The sequence below is a fragment of the Homo sapiens genome, chromosome 15 (genome assembly GCF_000001405.40).
Source record: "Homo sapiens chromosome 15, GRCh38.p14 Primary Assembly".
Classification (NCBI taxonomy): domain Eukaryota; kingdom Metazoa; phylum Chordata; class Mammalia; order Primates; family Hominidae; genus Homo; species Homo sapiens.
The window spans coordinates 56,750,506-56,772,027 of NC_000015.10; positions in this window are offsets into that span (position 1 = coordinate 56,750,506).

Here is a 21,522-nt window from a genome sequence, read left to right on the forward strand (position 1 = left end):
ATATATCTTCTTTGGTAAAGTGTGTGTTCAAATGTTTTACCCATTTTTTATTGGATATTTTTAAATATTTAGATTTTGAGAAATCTCTATATATTATGAATACAAGTCTTTTATCTAATATATGACTTGAAATTATTATTTCTGGTCTGTGGCTTGTCTTTTCTTTCTCAGAACGGTGTCTTTCAAAGAGCAAAAGCCCTTAACTTTTTGGTATAATTTATCATATTTTTTAATGACTCACACTTTGGGTGATGATGTGTCTTTACATAAGCCAAAATCACAAATATTTTCTCCTGCTTTCTTCTAGAAATATTATAGTTTTAGGTTTTAGATGTAAGTCTATGATCTATTTTGAATGAATTTTTGAATATGTTTGTATATGGTGCAAGATATGAATTGAGGATATTTATTTATATACTTATTGAATATGGATATCCAATTATTCCAGAATCATTTGCTGATAACCTTTCTCCATTGCAATGCCTTTGAATCTTTGTCAAAAATCAATTGATCATATATATGTAGGTCCATTTGTGGATTCTCCACTCTGTGTGGTTGATCTGTCTGTCTATATTTTTACCAATATCATACTCTCCTGATTAAAATAGCTTTATTTATCATACTCTGTTGACTAAAATAGCTTTACTAAAAGTTTTGAAATCAGGTAGTGTTGGCCTTCCAATTTTTTTCTTTTTTGCAAAGTTGTTCTGGCTCTTCTAGGTCCAGGGTATTTTCATATGAATGAAAAAATCAGACTGTTAATTTGGTCAATAAAAGTCTGCTGGGATTTTGAATGAGATTACATGGAATCTATAGATCAATTTGGGAGACAATTGGCATCTTAACAACATTGAGCTTTCATTTCCATAAATGTGGTTTATTTTTTCCTTTATTTGGGTCATTAATTTCTAGTAGCAATATTTTAGTCTTTTTAGTGGACAGGTCTTACCCATGCAATGTCAGATTTTTTTATATGTATTTCATGTTTTCGATGCCACTGTAAATAGTAATTTCTTAAATTTCAGTTTCAATTGTTTGTTGCTAATATGTAGAAATAAAATTGTTTTTTTAAAAAAATTTACCTTGTAACCTGTAACCTTGCTAAAGTCACTTACTAGCTCTACCAGCTTTTTTGTAGAGTCCATGGGATATTCTACATACATGATCATATGGTCTGCAAATACAGTTTTAGTTTTTCCTTCCCAATATGGATGCCTTTCTTTCATTTTTTTACATTATTGTACTAATGGTGAATAGAAGCAGTGACCGTGTACATTTTTCTTTTTTCTTTTTTTTTTTTTTTTTTTGACATGGAGTCTAGCACTGTCGCCCAGGCTGGAGTGCAGTGGTGCAATCTTGGCTCACTGCAACCTCCCTCTCCCAGGTTCAAGTGATTCTCCTGCCTCAGCCTCCCGAGCAGCTCGGATTACAGGTGCCCGCCACCACACCCAGCTAATTTTTTGTATTTTTTTAGTAGAGACGGGGTTTCACCATGTTGGCCAGGCTGGTCTTGAACTCCTGACCTCGTGATTCACCCACTTCGGCCTCACAAAGTGCTGGGATTACAGGCGTGAGCCACTTTGCCTGGTGACAGTGTACATTCTTCTATGGCTTCTGATCTCAGAAGATAGAAACAAAACATTTAGCTTTTTATCTATAGGGTTTTTTGTCAATGTCCTTTATCAGGATGAGTAGATTTCCTTCTATTTCTCATTTGCTGAGAGTTTTTATCATGAGTGGATGCTAGATTTTGTCAAATGTTCTTATTGCAACTATTGAGATTATCATTTTTTCTTTTTTAGTCTGTCAAAATAGTGAATTACATTGACTGATTTTCAAATGTTAAGTCAGCCTGGTATTCCTGAGATAGACCTTTTTTGGTTCTTTTTATATACTGTTGGATTTGATTTGTTAAATTTTTAAAAATATGTTTACATCAAACTTTATGAGGGGGATTGGTCTGTGGTTTTCCTTTCTTAATAATATCTTTGACTGATTTTGGGGATCACGGTAATTCCGGCCTCACAGAATGAGTTGGAAGTAGTTCCTCCTGTTTAATTTTTTAGAAGTGTTTATGTGGAACTGGTATTATTTTCTACCCCAAATATTTGGTAGAATTCACCAATGAAGGCATCTGGGCCTGGATATTTTTTTGTGGGTAAGTTTTTAAATACAAATTCAATCTTTTAATAGATATGTAGATATTTGTGTTATCTATTTCTTCTTGGATAAGCTTTGGCAGCTCATTTCTTCTTATTACTGAATACCTCATTGCATGGATGTACCACAATTTATTTATTCACCTACTGAAGGACATCTTGGTTGCTTCCAGTTTTTTGCAATTACGAAGAAAGCTGCTATAAACATTCATATGTGGGTTTTTGTGTGGACACAAGTTTTTAAATCATTTGGATAAATACCTAGGGCACTAAGAGGCTGATTTACTTGCCCAAGGCCATATAATTATGGAGCAACACAGACAGAACTTGAACTTGAACAACCTGACCCAGAGTTTATACACCTAACCACTATGCAAAACTGCCTTTCAACATTTGATACAAGTCAGGCAAACTCACTAAAGGAAGAGTCTGCAAATGAGGGGGCTTGAGTCAGATCTTGGATGAAGACTAACAGTTGATAAATAGAAGTAGAAAGAAACTTTCAATGTAGGGTATGGTGAAATGCTACTTAGAAAAGCATAGTGTGGGATAATGGTGATGGTTGCACAACAATGGGAATGTACTATTAAGTTATTCCACTGAATTATAAACTTAAAAATAGTTAAAATGATAAATGTCATTATGTGTATTTTACCGTAGTTTTCTAAAAAGTGTGTATGTTGGGTTTTGGGTGCAGGAGTAAATTATTCTGATTAAAGTTTTATTAGGGAAACAAAAGGAGATGAATATGTAAATTTAGAATAAAATCAGTATGAACTGTTAATTATATTCTACAGTCTAGGAGAATCTGAAAATTTTGCAAGGTGGAATGGACATGAAATCTACAATTTCAAAGTGTTAACCTGTGCTATATAAAAAATGTATAGAAGTCTCATACAACATAGATTATGACAAGGGACAAGGCTGGAGAGAACAGGTTCTCTGTTGTTAAGAGAATGAACTCAATTCAATCTAGATGCATTTATATATGCATTATTTCATTTCCTCTAACAACAGCTTTATAAGGTGGATATTACTGTCTGTTATCTATTTCTTCTTGGATAAGCTTTGGCAGTTTGTATCTTTCAAGGAATCTGTCCATTTCATCTAAGTTGTCAGATTTATTGGCATAAAGTTGTTCACAATATTCTTTTTATCCTTTTAATATCTGACTAATATCTTTTTAATATCTTGACTAATCTATAGTCAAGGAAGCTAAGACTTATGCACATTTGTATTACGTAAAAGTGCAGTAATTAAAAACCAGATCTCTTAATTTCAAATCCAGTGGGATTCAAAATGGGTAGCTGAAATTGAAATAACATGGACTGAAGAATCATACAGACCTTTGAATCCTGGTTCTGTCTTATTAGCTATGTGGCTTTGAGAAGATTATTTAGCTTGTCTGAGCCTCAATTTTCTCATCTGCTAAAGTGTGATGAAAATAGCCATCTCCTATGAATTAAATTCTACATACATAAAGTGCTAAGTACATAGCACCCAAGAAGTGTTCAATAATTGTTAATCCACTTTCTTCCTCCTAAATCTCTGACGTTTATCTGACATTTATTTTGTAGAATATATGTGAATCAAGTTATTTGTTGATTGGTGATATTTAAAACTTCTTATTTGTAAATTTAGGCTTTCCTGCATTGACAAATGATAAATTTTCACACATTAATCTCTTTCTGGCTAGAAGAAAAGCACATTTTACTAATTAAAGGCAAAAAGTTCCAAAGAAAAATTATGAACATGGTTTGGAAACTCATGTACATATTTATTTAACACCATTTCATATCTTTAAGAAGGCTTTTGGAAACTTATTTAGAAAACTGAAAGTCCTTGAATACCAAGTAGTTTAACAGGAATTTTTTAATGAGTTAAGTGTAAATGAATCAAAAACACATGAATTCTATTTTCTGTAAATAACACATGGTTTTGAAACTGAAAACATACTTGGGAAAAAAATGTGTCCTGTGTATTATTAAATTAAAACTCTTTAAAAATGGTGCTCCCCAAAATGAGGCAAGCTTCATTTAAATTCTAGAGTGCTATGGGTTGAAGTTCTCTTGGAGAGATCACAGCATATTTTATATGTTTGATTTTGAGATAAGATTACTTTAGGATAGTGTCCAAGGCTCCATCTGATGAGATGTTTTAGGTATTTCCATTTTCACAAGGGGTAGAATTAATCTTTTTTTTTTCTGGACAAAAGAGAAAGCAATTGTGTTCATCAACATAAAATGTTCACATGGAAGTAACCCTAGGACCTCAGACATGAGAGTATTGGGGTGGGAATGAGTGGAGAAGTATTGGTGAAATGTAGCGCCACAATTTCCCAGGATGAATAATTTATTCTGTCAGAAAGGCAGGAGAACTAATCAGCTAAATTTTCATCAACATATTAAAGCTTTTCACTAACATTGCCAAGTAATATGTGTCTCCAAATATTTTAGATACACTGTGCCTATGATTTCCTCTCTCTCTCTCTTTCGCTCTCTAGCTCTGTCTCTGTTTTTATTAGAAGGAGACAGCTACCACATCTGGGATCCAGATGAGGCAATCATAATTTTAATATTACTGTTCTTCTGGTTGGAATCATCCAATTCCTTCCTCTGGTATTCAGAAGAATTTCCACTGATTTGAAGTAGGAGACATTGCCTTTTATTATTTGCTGTCCTTCTCTCCTTTCAGATGGTAAAACTGACTACATTTTGTTAAATGTACAAACTACATTTGTGGAAACTGACTGCATTTGTGAAATAAAAACATGCAGATAAAATTGCTTTGGAATAAAACATATGTTTGTGCAGTGAAATGGGCCCTAAGATATGACCAAACAGACATTGATTAAAAGGACCAGAGCACTGGCAGAAGAATAGACATACAGATCAATGAAATAGAATTGACAATCCAGAAATAGACCCTCACATTTACAGTCAACTGAGTTTTAACAAGTGTGCCAAGACAATTCAATGGGGAAAGAATAGTCTTTTTAAAAAAAAAAAATGGTGTTGGAACAATTGGATATCTACATGTGAAAGAATAAAGTTAGACCCCTACCTTATGCCATATACAAAATTTAAGTAAAAATGGATCAAAGATCTAAATGAATCAAAGACCAACTCAAATGAATCAAAGCTAAACTATAAAACTCTTAGAAGTAGAAGAAAACATAGGCATCTGCATGACCTGTAATTTAGCAATAGCTCTTAGATGTGATGCCAAAAGCACAAGCAACAAAAGAAAAAAATAATGTAGACCTAATCGATATTTAAAACTTTGTGCTTCAAAGCATACCATCCAGAAAGTGAAAAGACAATCCATAGAATGGGGGAAAAGTTTGCAAATCATATTTCTGATAAAGGACTTCTATCTAAAATAATAAAGAACTATTACAACTCAATAATAAAAAGACAAATAACCCAACTTAAAAATGGGCATAGGATTTGAATAGACATTTCTACAAAGAAGATATACAAATGGCCAATAGAACATAAAAAGGAAATCGATGCCATTAGTCATCAGGGAATTGCAAATCAAAACCACAAGATACTTTGTACCCACAAAAATTAAAAATAAAACATTTTTTAAAATGATAAAAAATTAAAATAAAAATTTAAAAAACCACAATATACTTCATTACTACTAGGATGGTGATAATAAGAAATGCAGATAATAAACAAGTTTTGACAAAGGTGTGGGGACATTAAAACTTTCATGCACTGCTTGTGGCAATGCAAAATGGTGCAGCTTCTTTGAAAAACAATTTGGTTATTCCTCAAAGTTTAAAGATACAGTTACTACAGGACCCATCAATTCCACCACTGGGTACTGTATATAACCAAGATAAAAGAAAACACATGTCTGCACAAACACTTAAACATGAATGTACATGGCAGCATTATTTTGATAGCCAAATGTGGAAAGACCCAAATGCCCATCAACTGATGAATGGATAAATAAAATGTGATAGATCCATACAATGGAATATTATTTGGCAATAAAAAGAAACGAAGTACCATTGTCCCTCAATATCTGCAAGCGATTGGTTCCAGTACCCCCTGAAGATACCAAAATCCATGGATGCTCAAGTTCTTTATATAAAATAGCGTAGTATTTGCATATAAGCTACACACATCCTCTCTTATACTTTAAATCATCTGTAGATTATTTATAATACAATGTAAATGCTATGTAAATAATTATACTGTATTTTTTATTTTTAGTATCTTTATTGTTATTTTTCCAACTATTTTCAATCTCCTATTGTTTTAATTCATACATGCGGAACCATGGATATGGTAGGCCCTCTATACTGATAGATGCTATAACATGAATGAACCTTGAAAACATTATGCTAAATAAATGAAGCCAGTCACAGAAGAACACATATTTTATGATTCCATTTACATGAAATGTCTAGAAGAGGCAAGCCCACAGAGCCAGAAAGTAGATTAACCATTGCTTACTTAGGAGCTGGGAGAGTGGAGAAAAATGGGGCAAGAGCAGTTGACTGCTAAAGGATATGGGCTTTCTTGTTGGAATGATGAAATATTCTAAAACTGATGGTGTTATAGATGCGTAACTTTGTGAATATACTAAAAACTATGGAATTGAACATTATAAATGGGTGAATTGTGAGGTGTATGAATACTATATCAGCAAGGATTTTACCAAAAAAGGGACCAGTAACAGTTGATAAATAGTAATGTGTGGGCCAGGCACGGTGGCTCAAGCCTGTAATCCCAGCACTTCGGGAGGCTAAAGGGGGCGAATCACTTAGGCCAGGAGTTTGAGAGCAGCCTGGCCAGCATGGTGAAACCCCGTCCCTACCAAAAATACAAAAATTAGCCGGGTCTGGTGGCAGGTGCCTGTAATCCCAGCTACTCGGGAGGCTGAGGCACAAGAATCGCTGGAACCCAGAAGGTGGAGATTGTGATAAGCCGAGAATGTACCACTACACTCCAGCCCAGGTGACAGAGAGAGACTCTGTCAAAAAAAAAAAAAGAAAAGAAAAGAAAAGAAGGAAAGAAGGAAGGAAGGAAGGAAGGAAGGTTAGTTATGTGATTTTTTAACCCTTAAAGTATTTTAGATAACTTACACTTGAACTACTATGTTGAACTTCAGGTTAAGAAGTAAGAGAAGGAGGATGAATGGTCTCTAACAGTATGAATATAATTCCTTTCTGTTTCTTCTATTTATTTTCTAGTCGTTTCTCAATGCACTTATTAAAATATAAAACTAACTTTAACACTGGTTATATAATAATTGATCTGACATATATTTCCTTCTACCTAGCATGTGTCATGCCTTGTTTTTGGTACTGGACATGCAGAAGTCAGAACAAACTCCCTGATGTCAGCTTATATTCTAGTGAGGAGACTAGAGTGGAGTTGGCAGAAAGGAAGTCCACTTTGAGGAAGTGATATTTGCACAGAGACCCGGATAATATGAAAGCTCTGGAGGAAGAGAGTATCAGGTAGAAGAGAATGCCGAAGAATAAAGGCCCCAAATTGGGAGGAAGCTTAGTAAATATTAGAGCAGTGGTTTTCCAACTTGAGCTAACACCAGCATCAACTGGAGGGCTTGTTAAAACAGACTGCTGGCTCCACACACAGAGCAACTGAATCAGTAGGTCTGGGATGGTGCCCAAAAATATGCATTTCTAGCAAGGTAATGCTGATCCTGATGGTCTGGGGAACCATGCTTTGAGGAGTACTGTCTTAGAGGAACAAGAGAAAAACTAGGTAAATTTGAGTAACAGAGAATGGTAGGCAGTAGTGTGCTGAAGGCAGCTTATACTAGCTCACGAGAGCTGAAACTGTACATCTCTTTCCAACCTTGCAATCAGTGATGTTACCTTGGTAGCTGATATCAGGCATGGTAGGAATACTCATACTTTGGAAATTGACAAATGCTACAAATCAAGGATCCTGCTGCTGGTGGTAGGGATGAGGTCAAAGAAGTAGGGAGATGCCAGAATTGGAAGTCTTATATTCTATAATGAGGAATGTGGATTTAAGTATAAGGATAATGGGAAGCCTTGAAGAGTTGTGAGCAAAGGAGAAACATTATCTGACTCCTGTTTTAAAAGGAATATCCTGGCTGCTAACCGGAATATAGATTATAGGGGACATGATTGTACCCACCAAGTTCAATCTCTCCTTCTTGGGTGCAATTAGCTGCTCAGCTAAAGCTACATTTCTCAGCCTTCCTTGCAGTTGCATGTGGGTATGTGCCTAAGTATAAGCCCTACAGGAATGGAATGTGAGTAAAATGATTTGTGAAATTTCTGAGTCACTGGATAAAGAATAAATTCCTTGCCCTGAATGTCTTTTCCCTTCCTGAAAGCCACAACTCAGACACAGCAGAGACCTTGTGTTGATATGCAAATGATGACAGTACCCAAGGAGATAAGAAGCAAGGACTCAGAAGGAGCCCTGGTCTTGGGGTTTTGAAGAGCAAAGCTCCCATCAACCTATCAACCTGTGAGAGATAAAGCAATGTATTTAAGCAATAAGCCATTGTATCATTGGGTCTCTGTTACCATAGCTTAATCTTACCCTAACAGCAGGAGAGGTTAGTAAAGGCAGGGACATGACTTAGGAGACCATTGTAATAAATCCATCAACAGATGATGGTGGCTTGAATTAGGTTCCATGCCAGCTGGGCCTATTTGCTCTCAGACCCATTCTTCTCCCTTCCTTTGCTCTGCTTAGCTAGCTGGTCCCTGCATTCTGCATTTTCCAGGTCCATTTCATCCGGCTTCTGGCTGGCTTTAGGCACTGTTTGGAGATGGAAGAGCCCAAATAAGAAGCAAGTTCATTTCTTTCTTTCCTTCTCTCTTTCTTCTCCTTCTCCTCCTCCTCCTTCTCCTTCTCCTTCGTCTTCTCCTTCTCCTTCTTTTTCTTCTTTGTCTTCTTCTTCGTCTTCTTCTTCCTCCTCTCTCTCTCTCTCTCTCTCTCATGTGTGTGTCCCAATCAAGCAGCACTGCTGGCAGGGACCCAATGACTCTTGCTTCTGCTATTCCCACTGTGGTTAATCTCTAGGTAACCTTGCCATCCCCTCTAGCTTCTCGCTTCTTGTATCATCGTGTAACTAATTCCGTGCATTAAATCTCCTCTGTTTTAAATAGTGTCTGTATTCTTGGTTTAGCCTGGACTGGTACAGAGGAGGTAATGGATTAGTGAGAAATATTGGAATAAGGACATATTTTGAAGGTGGAAAAGACAGAATTGATGAGGCATTGGATATGTGGTATGAGGAAAGTGCTTAAAGCTCAAAACAGCCCATTTCCTTGCAACTTCCCCAATAAAGTGCTTCTCGGTCTTACCAGTCTCAGATTGCACCATCATTTACCTAGTAGCTCAAAACAAAAATCTGCAGCTTATACTTTATTCATTGTATTCTTCATCAAATCCATTTATAAAGCTTGATCCCAACTTTTGGGATATGTGGGAACTTGTCTGGAATTATAAGAATCCAGGTACACCTCATCATAACTTATCAAAAAGCTCAGACTGGAAACAGAGCCAAATTCAGACACTACTGATAGTTTCAAAAACTCCAGTGAACTTCACAAAGACTGTACTTTGAGAAAGAAACCAGATTCTGTATGTAGGCTAGACAGGCTGGCCACTGGACCATTGCCAAGACAACTTCAGGGGGTGTGGGGAAGTACAACAATCCAGGTTTTACTACATCAATTGGGAAACCAGAGCATTTTTAGGTAAGCTGAAACATGGGAGCTCAAACATGCTTGAAGGATCCTAAGAAAGTGGAAAGGGATTACCAGTTACAAGGCCTGAGGCTCAGAAAACATCTGTTTTCTTTTATTTGAGACTACTGAAGACAAAGATAATCTCTGGGAAAAGAAAGGCTTCCCAGTTTATTAGCTGTGTGACCTAGAACAATGTTGTTATCCTTCCAGGCTTTAGTTTGCTACTCTATTAGAAACAGGCAAAGCATTACCTACCTTGCAGGATTGTTGTATTAAATCATGTGATAGGCCTTCGAACATGGTGCATAGCATGCATTCATATTAATTTTTCTGTTCTTCCCTTCCTCTTCTCCCATGTGGATAACATTGTAGAATAGATTAACTATAACTTGCTGTGACTTAGTTTACTCTCAGTTAATAACTATTGATCTGCTACACATGTGGTCCCCAGAGCAAATGTAGGCTGTGGTTTGATTCACAATTAAGATAAAATGTTTTCACTGCAGAAATTCATTGCCGGCTTATTTAAGTTTGTGGAGAAAATGTTTGTGGGTAATAGAGTAGGGTGCAAAAGTTTTGGTAAGAAAGGCAAAACATTGTCATTATTTGTGTTACATGCAAGATTAGCAGTTGCAAATGTAAGGACCATGGCCTCATAAAGGGCTCCTCTTCAATGAACACTATTGTTTGATTCTCTTCACTTCCTTGTTTGTATTAAAAAGTGGCAATGACCTATTGCATACCGTAGGCAGTTTGTATTTAGTTGCTTCGTAATAAGTTTTCTTAATACATTTTGTAAACTTGATTTTAAAATATTCCTTATTTTAAAAATCGTAACTCCCAATTTATGAAGCCATTCTAGACAAAGTCTAATTGAAAAATATAACTCAGGATTATGAGGACAGAGTCAGTTTTGTTTTATTTATTCTATTTTTTGACATTTAAAAAATGTATCATAATAAACAGGCATTAATTTTTCTTCTGAAAAGAAATTAAGTTCCAAAATACCATAGTGCCTGTATTGATTACTTTAAATTCTCTCTGCTCAACAGTTGGCCTGCTCTTTCTCTGCTCTCAACAGTTGATAGCCAAATTGGAATAAAAAATTAAAATTACTGTACTAACTTCCCCACATAAGTGGGTATAATTGTTAATTTTATATGTCAACTTGGCTATCCATGCTATCCACATATTTGGATATTCACATATTTGGACATCTAGACTGGGGGGTCAAACACCAGTCTAGTTGCCACTTTGAATGTATTTTTAAGATGGCATTTAAATCAGTAGATTTTGAGTAAAGCACGTTACCTTTCATAATGTGGGTTGGCCTCATCCAGTCAGTTGAAGGCCTTAAGAGAAAAAGTGGATCCCAAGGAAGAGGGAATTCTGCCTTCAGTCTGCCTTTGGACTCAAGCTGCAACACCAACCCTTCCCTAGGTCTCCAGCCTGCCGGCCTGCCCTGCAGATTTCAGACTTGCCGGCCCCAACAACCACATCTGCCAGTTCCTTAAAATAAATCTCTCTCTCTCTCTCTCTCTCTCTCTCTCTCTCTCTCTCTCTGTATATCTATATTGATATTGGTCTTAATAGGTGTTTGTGACCGGAGCCTGTTGTAGGGTGGGGTGAGGGGGGAGGGATAGCATTAGGAGATATACCTAATGTAAATGACGAGTTAATGGGTGCAGCACACCAACATGGCACATGTATACATATGTAACAAACCTGCACGTTGTGCACATGTACCCTAGAACTTAAAGTATAATAATAAAAAAAAATAGGTGTGTGTGGGGGTGTGGGGCTGTGTATATCTGTATCGATATTGAGACCAATATCAATATAAATATGCACACACACACACACACACAAACACACACACACACACATCCTACTATTGATTTTGTTTCTCCAGAGAACCTGACTAGTAATACAGTGAGGAAACACTTAACTGGGCATTAAAGTAGCCAAAATACTTTGCTAGATAAAACATTTTTAGAGCTTGTAAGAATTCCTGTTGTATTGTTAAGTTTTCATTGATACTCCATATCAAAATGCCATCAGATTTTTTTCCCTATGACTGTTAGAAATGTGACTGATATAAGAATCTCACTTTCCTTTTTTCATTTTTTTAACGGATTAAGCTAGACATAATTCACATAACCATATAGGTCACCCATTTAAAGTATATAATTCCATGATTTTTAGTGTATTCACAGAGCTGTACGGCCATCACCACAATCAATTTTAGAACATTTTTATCACTCCAACAAGAAATCTCATATCCTTTAGCAGTCACTCCCATCCTGCTGCCCTCTGCCCAGCCCTAGGTAACCACTAAGCTATTTTCTGTCTCCCTAGATTTGCCTATTCTGACATTTTATATAAACTGAAGCATACAGTTCAGTAAGCAGTCTTTTATGACTGGCTTCTTTCACTTTACATAATGTTTTCAAGGTTCATCCATGTCATAGCATGTATTGGTATTACATTTCTCTTTCTTGCTAAATAATATTCCATTTATGGAGATACATATTTTATTTATCCACTCCAGTTGATGGATACTTGGATTGTTTATACCTTTTTGGCTATTATCATTTTCCTTTTTCTTGATCTTAGTACTAAAATGTAAAATGACTAAAAGGGAAGAAAAAAAAAAGTACTAGATCCTGGAAAAATTCTCAATTAAGTGAATGATCACTGAATAAATAAGTTATAAGAACACAATATTTATTATAGGCGCAATTTTTATTAACTAATCATTTCCAAAACCATAACTATTAATAAAATGGCTTGCAAAATATGTTCTTATTGCAAGTATTTGTGCCTAAGTGCTTCTGTTTATGAGACAAGAAATTCAAATAGCTGTCTTGGCAGTATCACTCCAGTTGTATAAGCCAAAGGATTAAGAGTACTTTTAAGAAGGAGTAACAATGTGTTCTGCTTGGCTTTGGAAATGATGGTAAATTTATACATAATGTATGGATGATTATATTATACCCATATGAGGCTGTCAATCAAAACAGGATTTCTGTCAGATGATAGTTTCCAATTCACAAAGCTTATTTTTTTACATTAGAATCTTTGCTGGATTCAGATCATATTGAACATCCACATTTCTCTGTCACTTTATTTTTAAAAATCCATTTCTAAAAATGAAATGACTGGATAATTATGACTTTGAGCAACAACTATCCATGCCAGCCTGGTACAGGAAAGCTTAATTCTAATCCTAACATCACTCTTCATATAAAATAAGAGCTGTTGATATTGCAAAATCCCAGGGTGGAGCTTCTTTTAATTTCCCTTAAACTAGCTGGTCTGGCCAGTATTCCTTCACAGGATATAAACAGAACAGTAGCTAAGCTTCCATAGAGCAGAGGTATGCTCTAGGAAGAACAATAAGGTCAACTGGACTTAGTGTGGAATGAAAGGCTTAAAAATTCCATAAAATAAGGAACGAATGTAGGCATTACTTATAGGCATTTTAAAAGTTTTTGCCTTCTCACCAGAAGTACTTACCTACCAAATTTTACATTTAGTTTCCCTACAGGTATGGTTATATAATTTTACTAATATAACTATTAGTAAAATAATGTGAGTAGCAACTTGACTTGCAAGCTACATCAGATTGTTAAGAGAGTAATGTTTATCTTGGATGTTTCTTAATTTCCATTTCCTCTGTTTCCTTTCTCAATGTTCCTTCCTCTAGAAACAGTTTTTTTAAAGTAATTTCCACAAAGATGTCAATGAAAACTTGCTTATTTTCAAAGAAATATAGGCATTTTAAAAGAGGCCCTAATAACACAAAACAGTAAATTATTACTGATGAGATTTCACATATTGTACATAGATCAGAGGTACATTTCAGGGCCTTCCTGAATGTGGGTCAGCAGGGTCTTCACAGTGGAGCAAGCCCCTGCTATACACTCATAGATGTTCAAGTTTTTGTTGTTGTTATTGTTGTTGTTTTGGTTTTGGTTTTTGGTGGTTTTTTTTTTTTTTTTTTTTTTTTTAATACCGAGTCTCACTCTGTCGCCCAGGCTACAATGCAGTGGCATGATCTTGGCTCACTATGACCTCTGCCTCCCAAGTTTAAGCAATTCCCTGAGTAGCTGGGATTACAGGCTTGCACCAACGCACCCAGCTAATTTTTGTATTTTTGGTAGAGACAGGGTTTCTCTATATTGGCCAAGCCGGTCTCGAACTCCTGACCTCAGGTGATCCGCCCACCTCGGCCTCCCAAAGTGCTGGGATTACAGGCGTGAGCTACAGTGCCCAGCTAAAGTCAAGTTTTTCGTATGCAAATATGTTTAGTTGGAAGAAAGTGGAGGGTCATTTTTTTTTTTTTTTGAGAGATGGGGTTCTTGCTATGTTGCTCAGGCTAGTCTCAAACTCCTGGACTCAAGCTATCCTCCTACCTCAGCCTCTGGATTCGCTGGGACTACAGGTATGCACCACCATGCCCAGCTGCAAGGGCTATGCTTAGATCACAATCACAGTATTGGCTAGTAACAGCTGTTTTCCTTCAAATCTGAAACTTGTAGGAAAGATGGAGTGATAGAAAATATATCGATGGTTATGACAATAGACTCAGAGAACATAAAGGTGTCGCATGCGACATACACAACTAGGAATAAGCCAGTGCCGGCCTCCTTTTGCGAGGCTGCTGCTTCTTGGTCTGCCCTCTCATCATCATGCTTGTGATTGCAATTGTCAGCTGGGTCTTCTTGGTTCAAATATAAATAATCTTACCTGAAATTTCTCTAACTTGAAGGTTTATAAAAACGATAATACATTTATTTGAGAATCACTTATCCTAAGCTATGGAAGAAGAATTAAATACAGATTTCCAGTTTGAATATAATGAAGTAAAAATTGGCATTTCCCCCTTTTGCTCTAGGAAATCACCCAAAAGAAGAATGAGAAACAGAAACACAAGCTAGGATGCATATGAAACTTTAAGCCACAAATAGGTAGAAGGGCTGCCAAAAGCAATGAAGAACAAACAGGATGTGGGAGGAAGCAGAAGGAGATGCCTGTAAATGCAAATCCCTGAGACAACTGGCACTACCCCAAGATGTGGAGTACTCCCAAGATGCAGAGCTCTAATCCTCATGTGTCCTAACAGGGGAGGTGGGGTGGTGACAGAAGCATCCATGACCATTTGATTCTGAGAAGTAGAGGTGGTAGGACTGAACAGACTCATGTGATAAAGCCATATTTTAAGAAACAATCTGTTGATGAGGCAGAGGATTGAAAAAAAGAGCCTGGTGTGAGTCGTAGAGCTGCCTATCTTTGTCAGTTGGGGAGAGGTAATAGTTAAATGGACTCTCACACTTTGCTGGGGTCCCTAAGGAGAGCTGCTAGCCTTGGACACGGCTCCAGCATCTCCATCATATGAACCATTTACAAGTAGCTAGTCAAGAAAAGCCCTTTCATCCAAAATGAGAAATCAAGAATAAACCATCCAGAATGAATGCACATATATATTCATTACATATATGCGTGTATATATACACACATTATATATATTTATTATATATGTGTATATATACATTATATATATTCATTTTATATGTGTGTATATGTATACATTATATATATGTATGATGAGAACACACCACGCACACACACACACGGAGAAAAGGAACAGAAAAAAATAAATATAGGTGAACTCTGATCACAGAAGTATTTCCATGGAGCAGATGAAAGTTTCGAGCAAATATTTTGCCATGGATTTAACAGTTAATGAAGAAATCTATGTATAAAATAAGAGCCCATATGTACATACAATGGAGTATTACTCAGCTTTAAAAAGGAAGGAAACTGGCCGGGCGCGGTGGCTCACGCCTGTAATCCCAGCACTTTGGGAGGCTGAGGCGGGCGGATCACGAGGTCAGGAGATCGAGACCATCCTGGCTAACATGGTGAAACCCCGTCTCTACTAAAAATACAAAAAAAATTAGCCGGGCGTGGTAGCGGGCGCCTGTAGTCCCAGCTACTCGGGAGGCTGAGGCAGGAGAATGGCGTGAACCCGGGAGGCGCAGCTTGCAGTGAGCCAAGACAGCGCCACTGCAGCCCAGCCTGGGCGAAAGAGCAAGACTCTGTCTCAAAAAAAAAAAAAAAAAAAAAAAAGGAAGGAAACTGACACATGCTACAATGTGGATGAATCTTGAAGACATTGTGCTGTGTGAAATAAACCAGCCACAAGAAATACAAATACTATATGATCCCACTTATATGAGATACCTGGAGATATGAGATACCTTATATGATATATCAAATTCATAGAGACAAAAAGTAAATTTGTGGTTACCAGGGGCTTTGGGGAAGGAAGAATGAGAATTAGCATTTAATGGGTACAGAGTTTCAACAGGAGGAGACCAAAAAGTTTTGAACATGGATAGCAATGATAGTTGCACAGCAGGGTGAATGTGCATAATGCCACAGAAATGTACACTTTAAAATGGTTAAAATCCTAAGTTTTATGCTATGTAATTTTACCAATGTTTTAAAAAGACAAGAACATACAGCAGATATACAAGACTCAGGAAGTAGCCGGGTGTGGTGGCACATGCCTGTGGTCCTAGCTACTCTGGAGGCTGAGGCAGGAGGATCGCTTCAGCCTAGAAGTTTGAGACTACAGCGAGCTATGATTGTGCCACTGCACTGCAGCCTGGGTGACAGAACAAGACTCTGTCTCTCAAAAAAAAAAAGACTCAGGAAAATGGAGAGACCAGGAAAGTGGCTTAAAAATAGAAATGGAGTCAAAATCAGAAGTAGCACAGTGGAGACTAGATACTGATGAGAATACAGAAAGAAACATAGAAGTTAGCAATAAGAAAAGCAAGCAAAATTAACGAAAGTAAATAGAATTTAAAACAATTAGAGATAGATAAAATGTAAATAAGTAGGGAAGACAGGCAAAGGAAATCCAATATACAGTTATTCAAAATCTCTATGTAATGAATTAGAAAAAGTATTTGAAATACTGTGGAAGAAAATGTTCATTTTGAAAGGGCATCTCAGGTCTCAGGAAAAATTGATGCATAATGGCCAACACTGAGACATATCCTAATACAACTGCTGAACTTTGAAGATAAAAAAATGAATCCTTTGAACAATCAGACAAAAACAATGAGTCATCTATGCAGGGTAAAAACAAAACAAGCTGACATAAGATGTCTCTACAGTAATATTCAATTCTAGAAGACAATAGGGAAATGCCCCAAAATCTTCATGAAAAAAAGTATGATCGCAAAATTTTATATCATCCAAATTATTATTCAAATGATAAAGGCAAAGAAATTTTTAATATCCATGAACTCTGTGGAAACAGTTGGAAAACATTTGCAATTCATATCACAAAGTCCCAACTTTTTTATCTATAAGAATTAAAAAAAAATAAAACTAGAGACAAACCAATAACCCAGAAGATAAATGAGCAAAGAATGTGAATGGTTTACATGAAAGGAAATAAAAAGGACTCTCAAATATATATGAAAAGATGCTCAATTGCATTCATAGTGAGAAATGCAAATTAAAATTAAACTGGCCAGATCCAGTGGCTCAAACCTGTAATCCCAGCACTTTGGGAGGCCCAGGAGGGTGGATCACCTGAGGTCAGGAGTTTGAGACCAGCGTGGACAACATGGTGAAAACCCATCTGTACTAAAAGTACAAAAATTAGCCAGGCGTGGTGGTGGGCACCTGTAATCCCAGCTACTCGGGAGGCTGAGGCAGGAGAATCACTTGAACTTGGAAGGCGGAGGCTGCAGTGAGCCAAGATCATGCCACTGCACTCCAGCCTGGGCAACAGAGTAAGACTCCATCTCAAAAAATAAAAATAAAAATAAAATAAACTGAAATATTACAATTAACCCATCAAATTGGAAAACATAACAAAGCTTGGCAACACTGCATAAATAAGAGTGTGTGAGAGAGGCATTTTGTTTGTTTGTTTGTTTGAGACGGAGTCTGGCTCTCTTACCCAGGCTGGAGTGCAGTGGCGGGATCTCGGCTCACTGCAAGCTCTGCCTCCTGGGTTCACGCCATTCTCCTGCCTCAGCCTCCCGAGTAGCTGGGACTACAGGCGCCCGCCACCACGCCCGGCTAATTTTTTGTATTTTTAGTAGAGACGGGGTTTCACCACGTTAGCCAGGATGATCTCGATCTCCTGATCGCGTGATCCACCTTCCTCGGCCTCCCAAAGTGCTGGGATTACAGGCGTGAGCCACCGCACCCAGCCAAAAGAGGCATTTTCATATATTGCTGTTAGAAACATAAATTGTACAACCTCTATGTAGGATTATTTGGCAACATTTGTCAAAATTACAAACACATATACTCTTTGAATCAGTAATTCTACCTCTAGGAATTTATCCTGCAGATTAGTTACATATGTGCAAAATGACATACGTTCTAGAAAAGTCTTTGAAGCATTCTTTGTAATAGCAAAAGATTGCAAATAAATATCCATCAAGATGAAGTTGATCAAATAAATTATAATGCATCCATTCTATGGAATATCATGCTGCTGAAAAAAGAAGGGTAAATGTTTTACTGATATGTAGTAAGTTCCAAGTATAGTTTAGTGAAAAAAAAAAGCAAGCTTCAAAGTATATAGAATGCTATCATTTGCATGAAAGGCAAAACTGTATGTTTATATTTGCTCATATTGCATTGAAGGATATATAAGATTTTGGTAATATTAGTTGCCTGTGAGGAGGGAAAGTAGGTCGCTGTATTGGAATTGAAGAGAATGTGTTGCTGTATACTCTTGAGCAGTCAGAATTTTGAAATGTTAATTCATTACCTATTCATAAGTAAATAAATAAGCAAGCAATGTGTGATTCTGTTGTTTACATGTAATATATTTTCTGCAGAATCTGTGAATTCCCTTAGCCTGGAGTGGCTAAAGGAAATGCCCTTACCCTAGGCTGCCTCCTCTTTTTTCAACCTATTTCTGGGCTATCTCCCACTCTCTTTGGAGTCCTACCCTATTCATAGTTCCTACCCTATTCATAGTTCCCTGATCGCCTGAGTCAGAATGCTGCTTCTTAGCAGCAACGCTTTTAAGACAAATTTCAAATAATTCTCATGGTTATTCACATGCAAACACCCATAAATTTATGAACAGAAATCTTCATAACCCTCTGACTATATTTGTTTTTTAACTGCATTCATCTTAAGGAGGGTTCCTTTTAGTTGTTTTAGAGTCTGCCAAATTAGGAAAGCTTCCCTTCTCTGGGATAACTCATAGTTTACTTCTTTGGTAACAATTAGACAGAAATTCAGAATTCTAAAAAATAGAAAACAACTCCAGTACAGCCACCTAATTCCCCTCCTTACCAGCAACTAATATTACCTACCAGTCAAAGGTGATTAATATGCTCTTTTATTGTCTATCAAATCCATTGTCCAAACAATAATTATATTTAGCCATGATCTTTTCAGCTGTTTGCTTGAAAGTGGAAAACTTCAATTATCCAAGCAATCCTGGGCTCTAAGTTTATGTAGCTTGTTCATAACTGGAGGTGAACAGTAGATGGAATATAAGAAACCTTCAGGTAATCCCTGCAGGGTATTTCTAGAATATTCCTCTAGCAAAGCTGGGGATATCCTGACCCCCTACAAAGTATATATGTTTGACTTTTTTACATATATATATATATATATACACACACACACACATATACATGTATGTATATACACACACGTATATATATGTAATCTTTCCTGAGGTAGAGATTGTAGCTTCCTAATGAAATTTACTTATAATCTCCTGATGCCCTATTAAGCCTCCACCAATAGCAAAGTCCCGTTAGACCAGTCTATGCTAAAGCCTATTTGATATTAAAACACAAGGAAAGGTCTTCGCCTAAGTAGATTAAGGAGACATAAATCAAGCAAGTCAGATTTCTAAACAAGGGAACTTTAAACATGGAATTTGCAAATGCTATTCATTCGTGCCCCATGCAAACATGCAAATATTGGTTAGTGAACTTCGGCCTACCAGGCTTTGAAACAATGGTTATAACATTAGTATTCCTCTTTCCATGATTGCTGCCAGAGGAATTTCAGACCCCGTTTGGGGATTTTCACAGTTATTCCCTCTTAATACCCTCCAATATCCTTTCTCTCAAATGCCACTTGGAACTTTCTAAGTGGAATGGTTTCTTTGCCTCTGTGTGGCAAGTTTCTGCTCTGTGCATTTCATATCTCTTCTCTGGCACTTTTCCCTTTCATCTTACCTTCTGGCTAAAAGAGTAACTTCTAGCTCAAATTTAATTAATAAATTTAAAATTTTAATTTGAGGAAGGCTATGTTTTATAGTGTAACCTTATTAAACACCATCTATTTCACTGGGCTGTAGCCATCTCAGTTTTTCTGATTAAATTGCTTAAGGTCTGCTTATGTTCTCTGCAATGTGGTCTGTTCTTTGAGTCATATTGTTGTCCACCTTGATTTAGTGCCATTGTCCCTGCATGTCCATGTATTCATTTTGTTTACCGTTTACCAAAAAAAAAGTTACAGCCGGGGGCGGTGGCTTTTGTCTGTAATCCCAGCACTTTAGGAGGCTGAGGTGGATGGATCACCTGAGGTCAGGAGTTCGTGACCAGCCTGACCAACATGGCGAAACCCCACCTCTACTAAAAATACAAAAATTAGCTGGGTGTGGTGGTGCACACCTGTAATCCCAGCTACATGGGAGGCTCAGGCAGGAGAATCACTTGAACCAGGGAGGTGGAGGTTGCAATGAGCCAAGATCGCACCTTTGCACTCCAGCCTGGGCAACAAGAGTGAAACTCCATCTGCAAAAAAACAAAAACAAAAAAGTTACTTATCATTGTCCTTAAAATTTAACTCAGTCGGGATGAGATAAAGTGGGTGATGTTCCTCTCATCCCTGCAGGCACATATGGAAAGCTCATCACTTTTATGACCACTCCAAGGTACTAGAAAGACCTGTGTTATTTTAACCATAAATATGATCTCAGTTCAGAAAGTTGAATACCCATATCCATAAATAATCACAATTCTGAACTTCATTTAATGTCTTTACCTGCTTTTGATACAGGGAATGGGACACACATGCTGTGATTGTTTCTGGTTACTGATATGACAAATTACCACAACTTAGTGGCTTAAAACCACACAAATTTATTATCTCATAATTCTTTAGGTCAGAAATGTGACTGTTTCTTCTCCTTTCTTATATTCTAGAGGGTGTCTTCATTCCTTGGCTCATGGCCCCCTTCCTCCATCTTCAAAGCCAGTAACATCACGTCTCTCTGACCCTTCTGTCACAACATCTCTGACCACAGCCGGGAAAGCCTCTCCACATTTAAGGATTTAGGTGATTTGACTGGACCCACCTTGATAATCCAGGATAATCCCTCTTCTCCAGGTCTGTAACCTAATCATCTACAAAGTCCCTACACCACTCATCCAAGCCCGCATCATCTCTCACCTGTATCTCACCTGGATTATGGCAATAGCCTTCTATCTGGTCTCACTCTTCTACTTTTGCCCACTGTAGTAATTATCCTCACAGCAAAATCAGAAGTTTTGTTCTGAACATTTCAAGTTTTGAGACCTATTAGACAATTAAGAGGATTTCAAGTAGTTGTCTTGTATA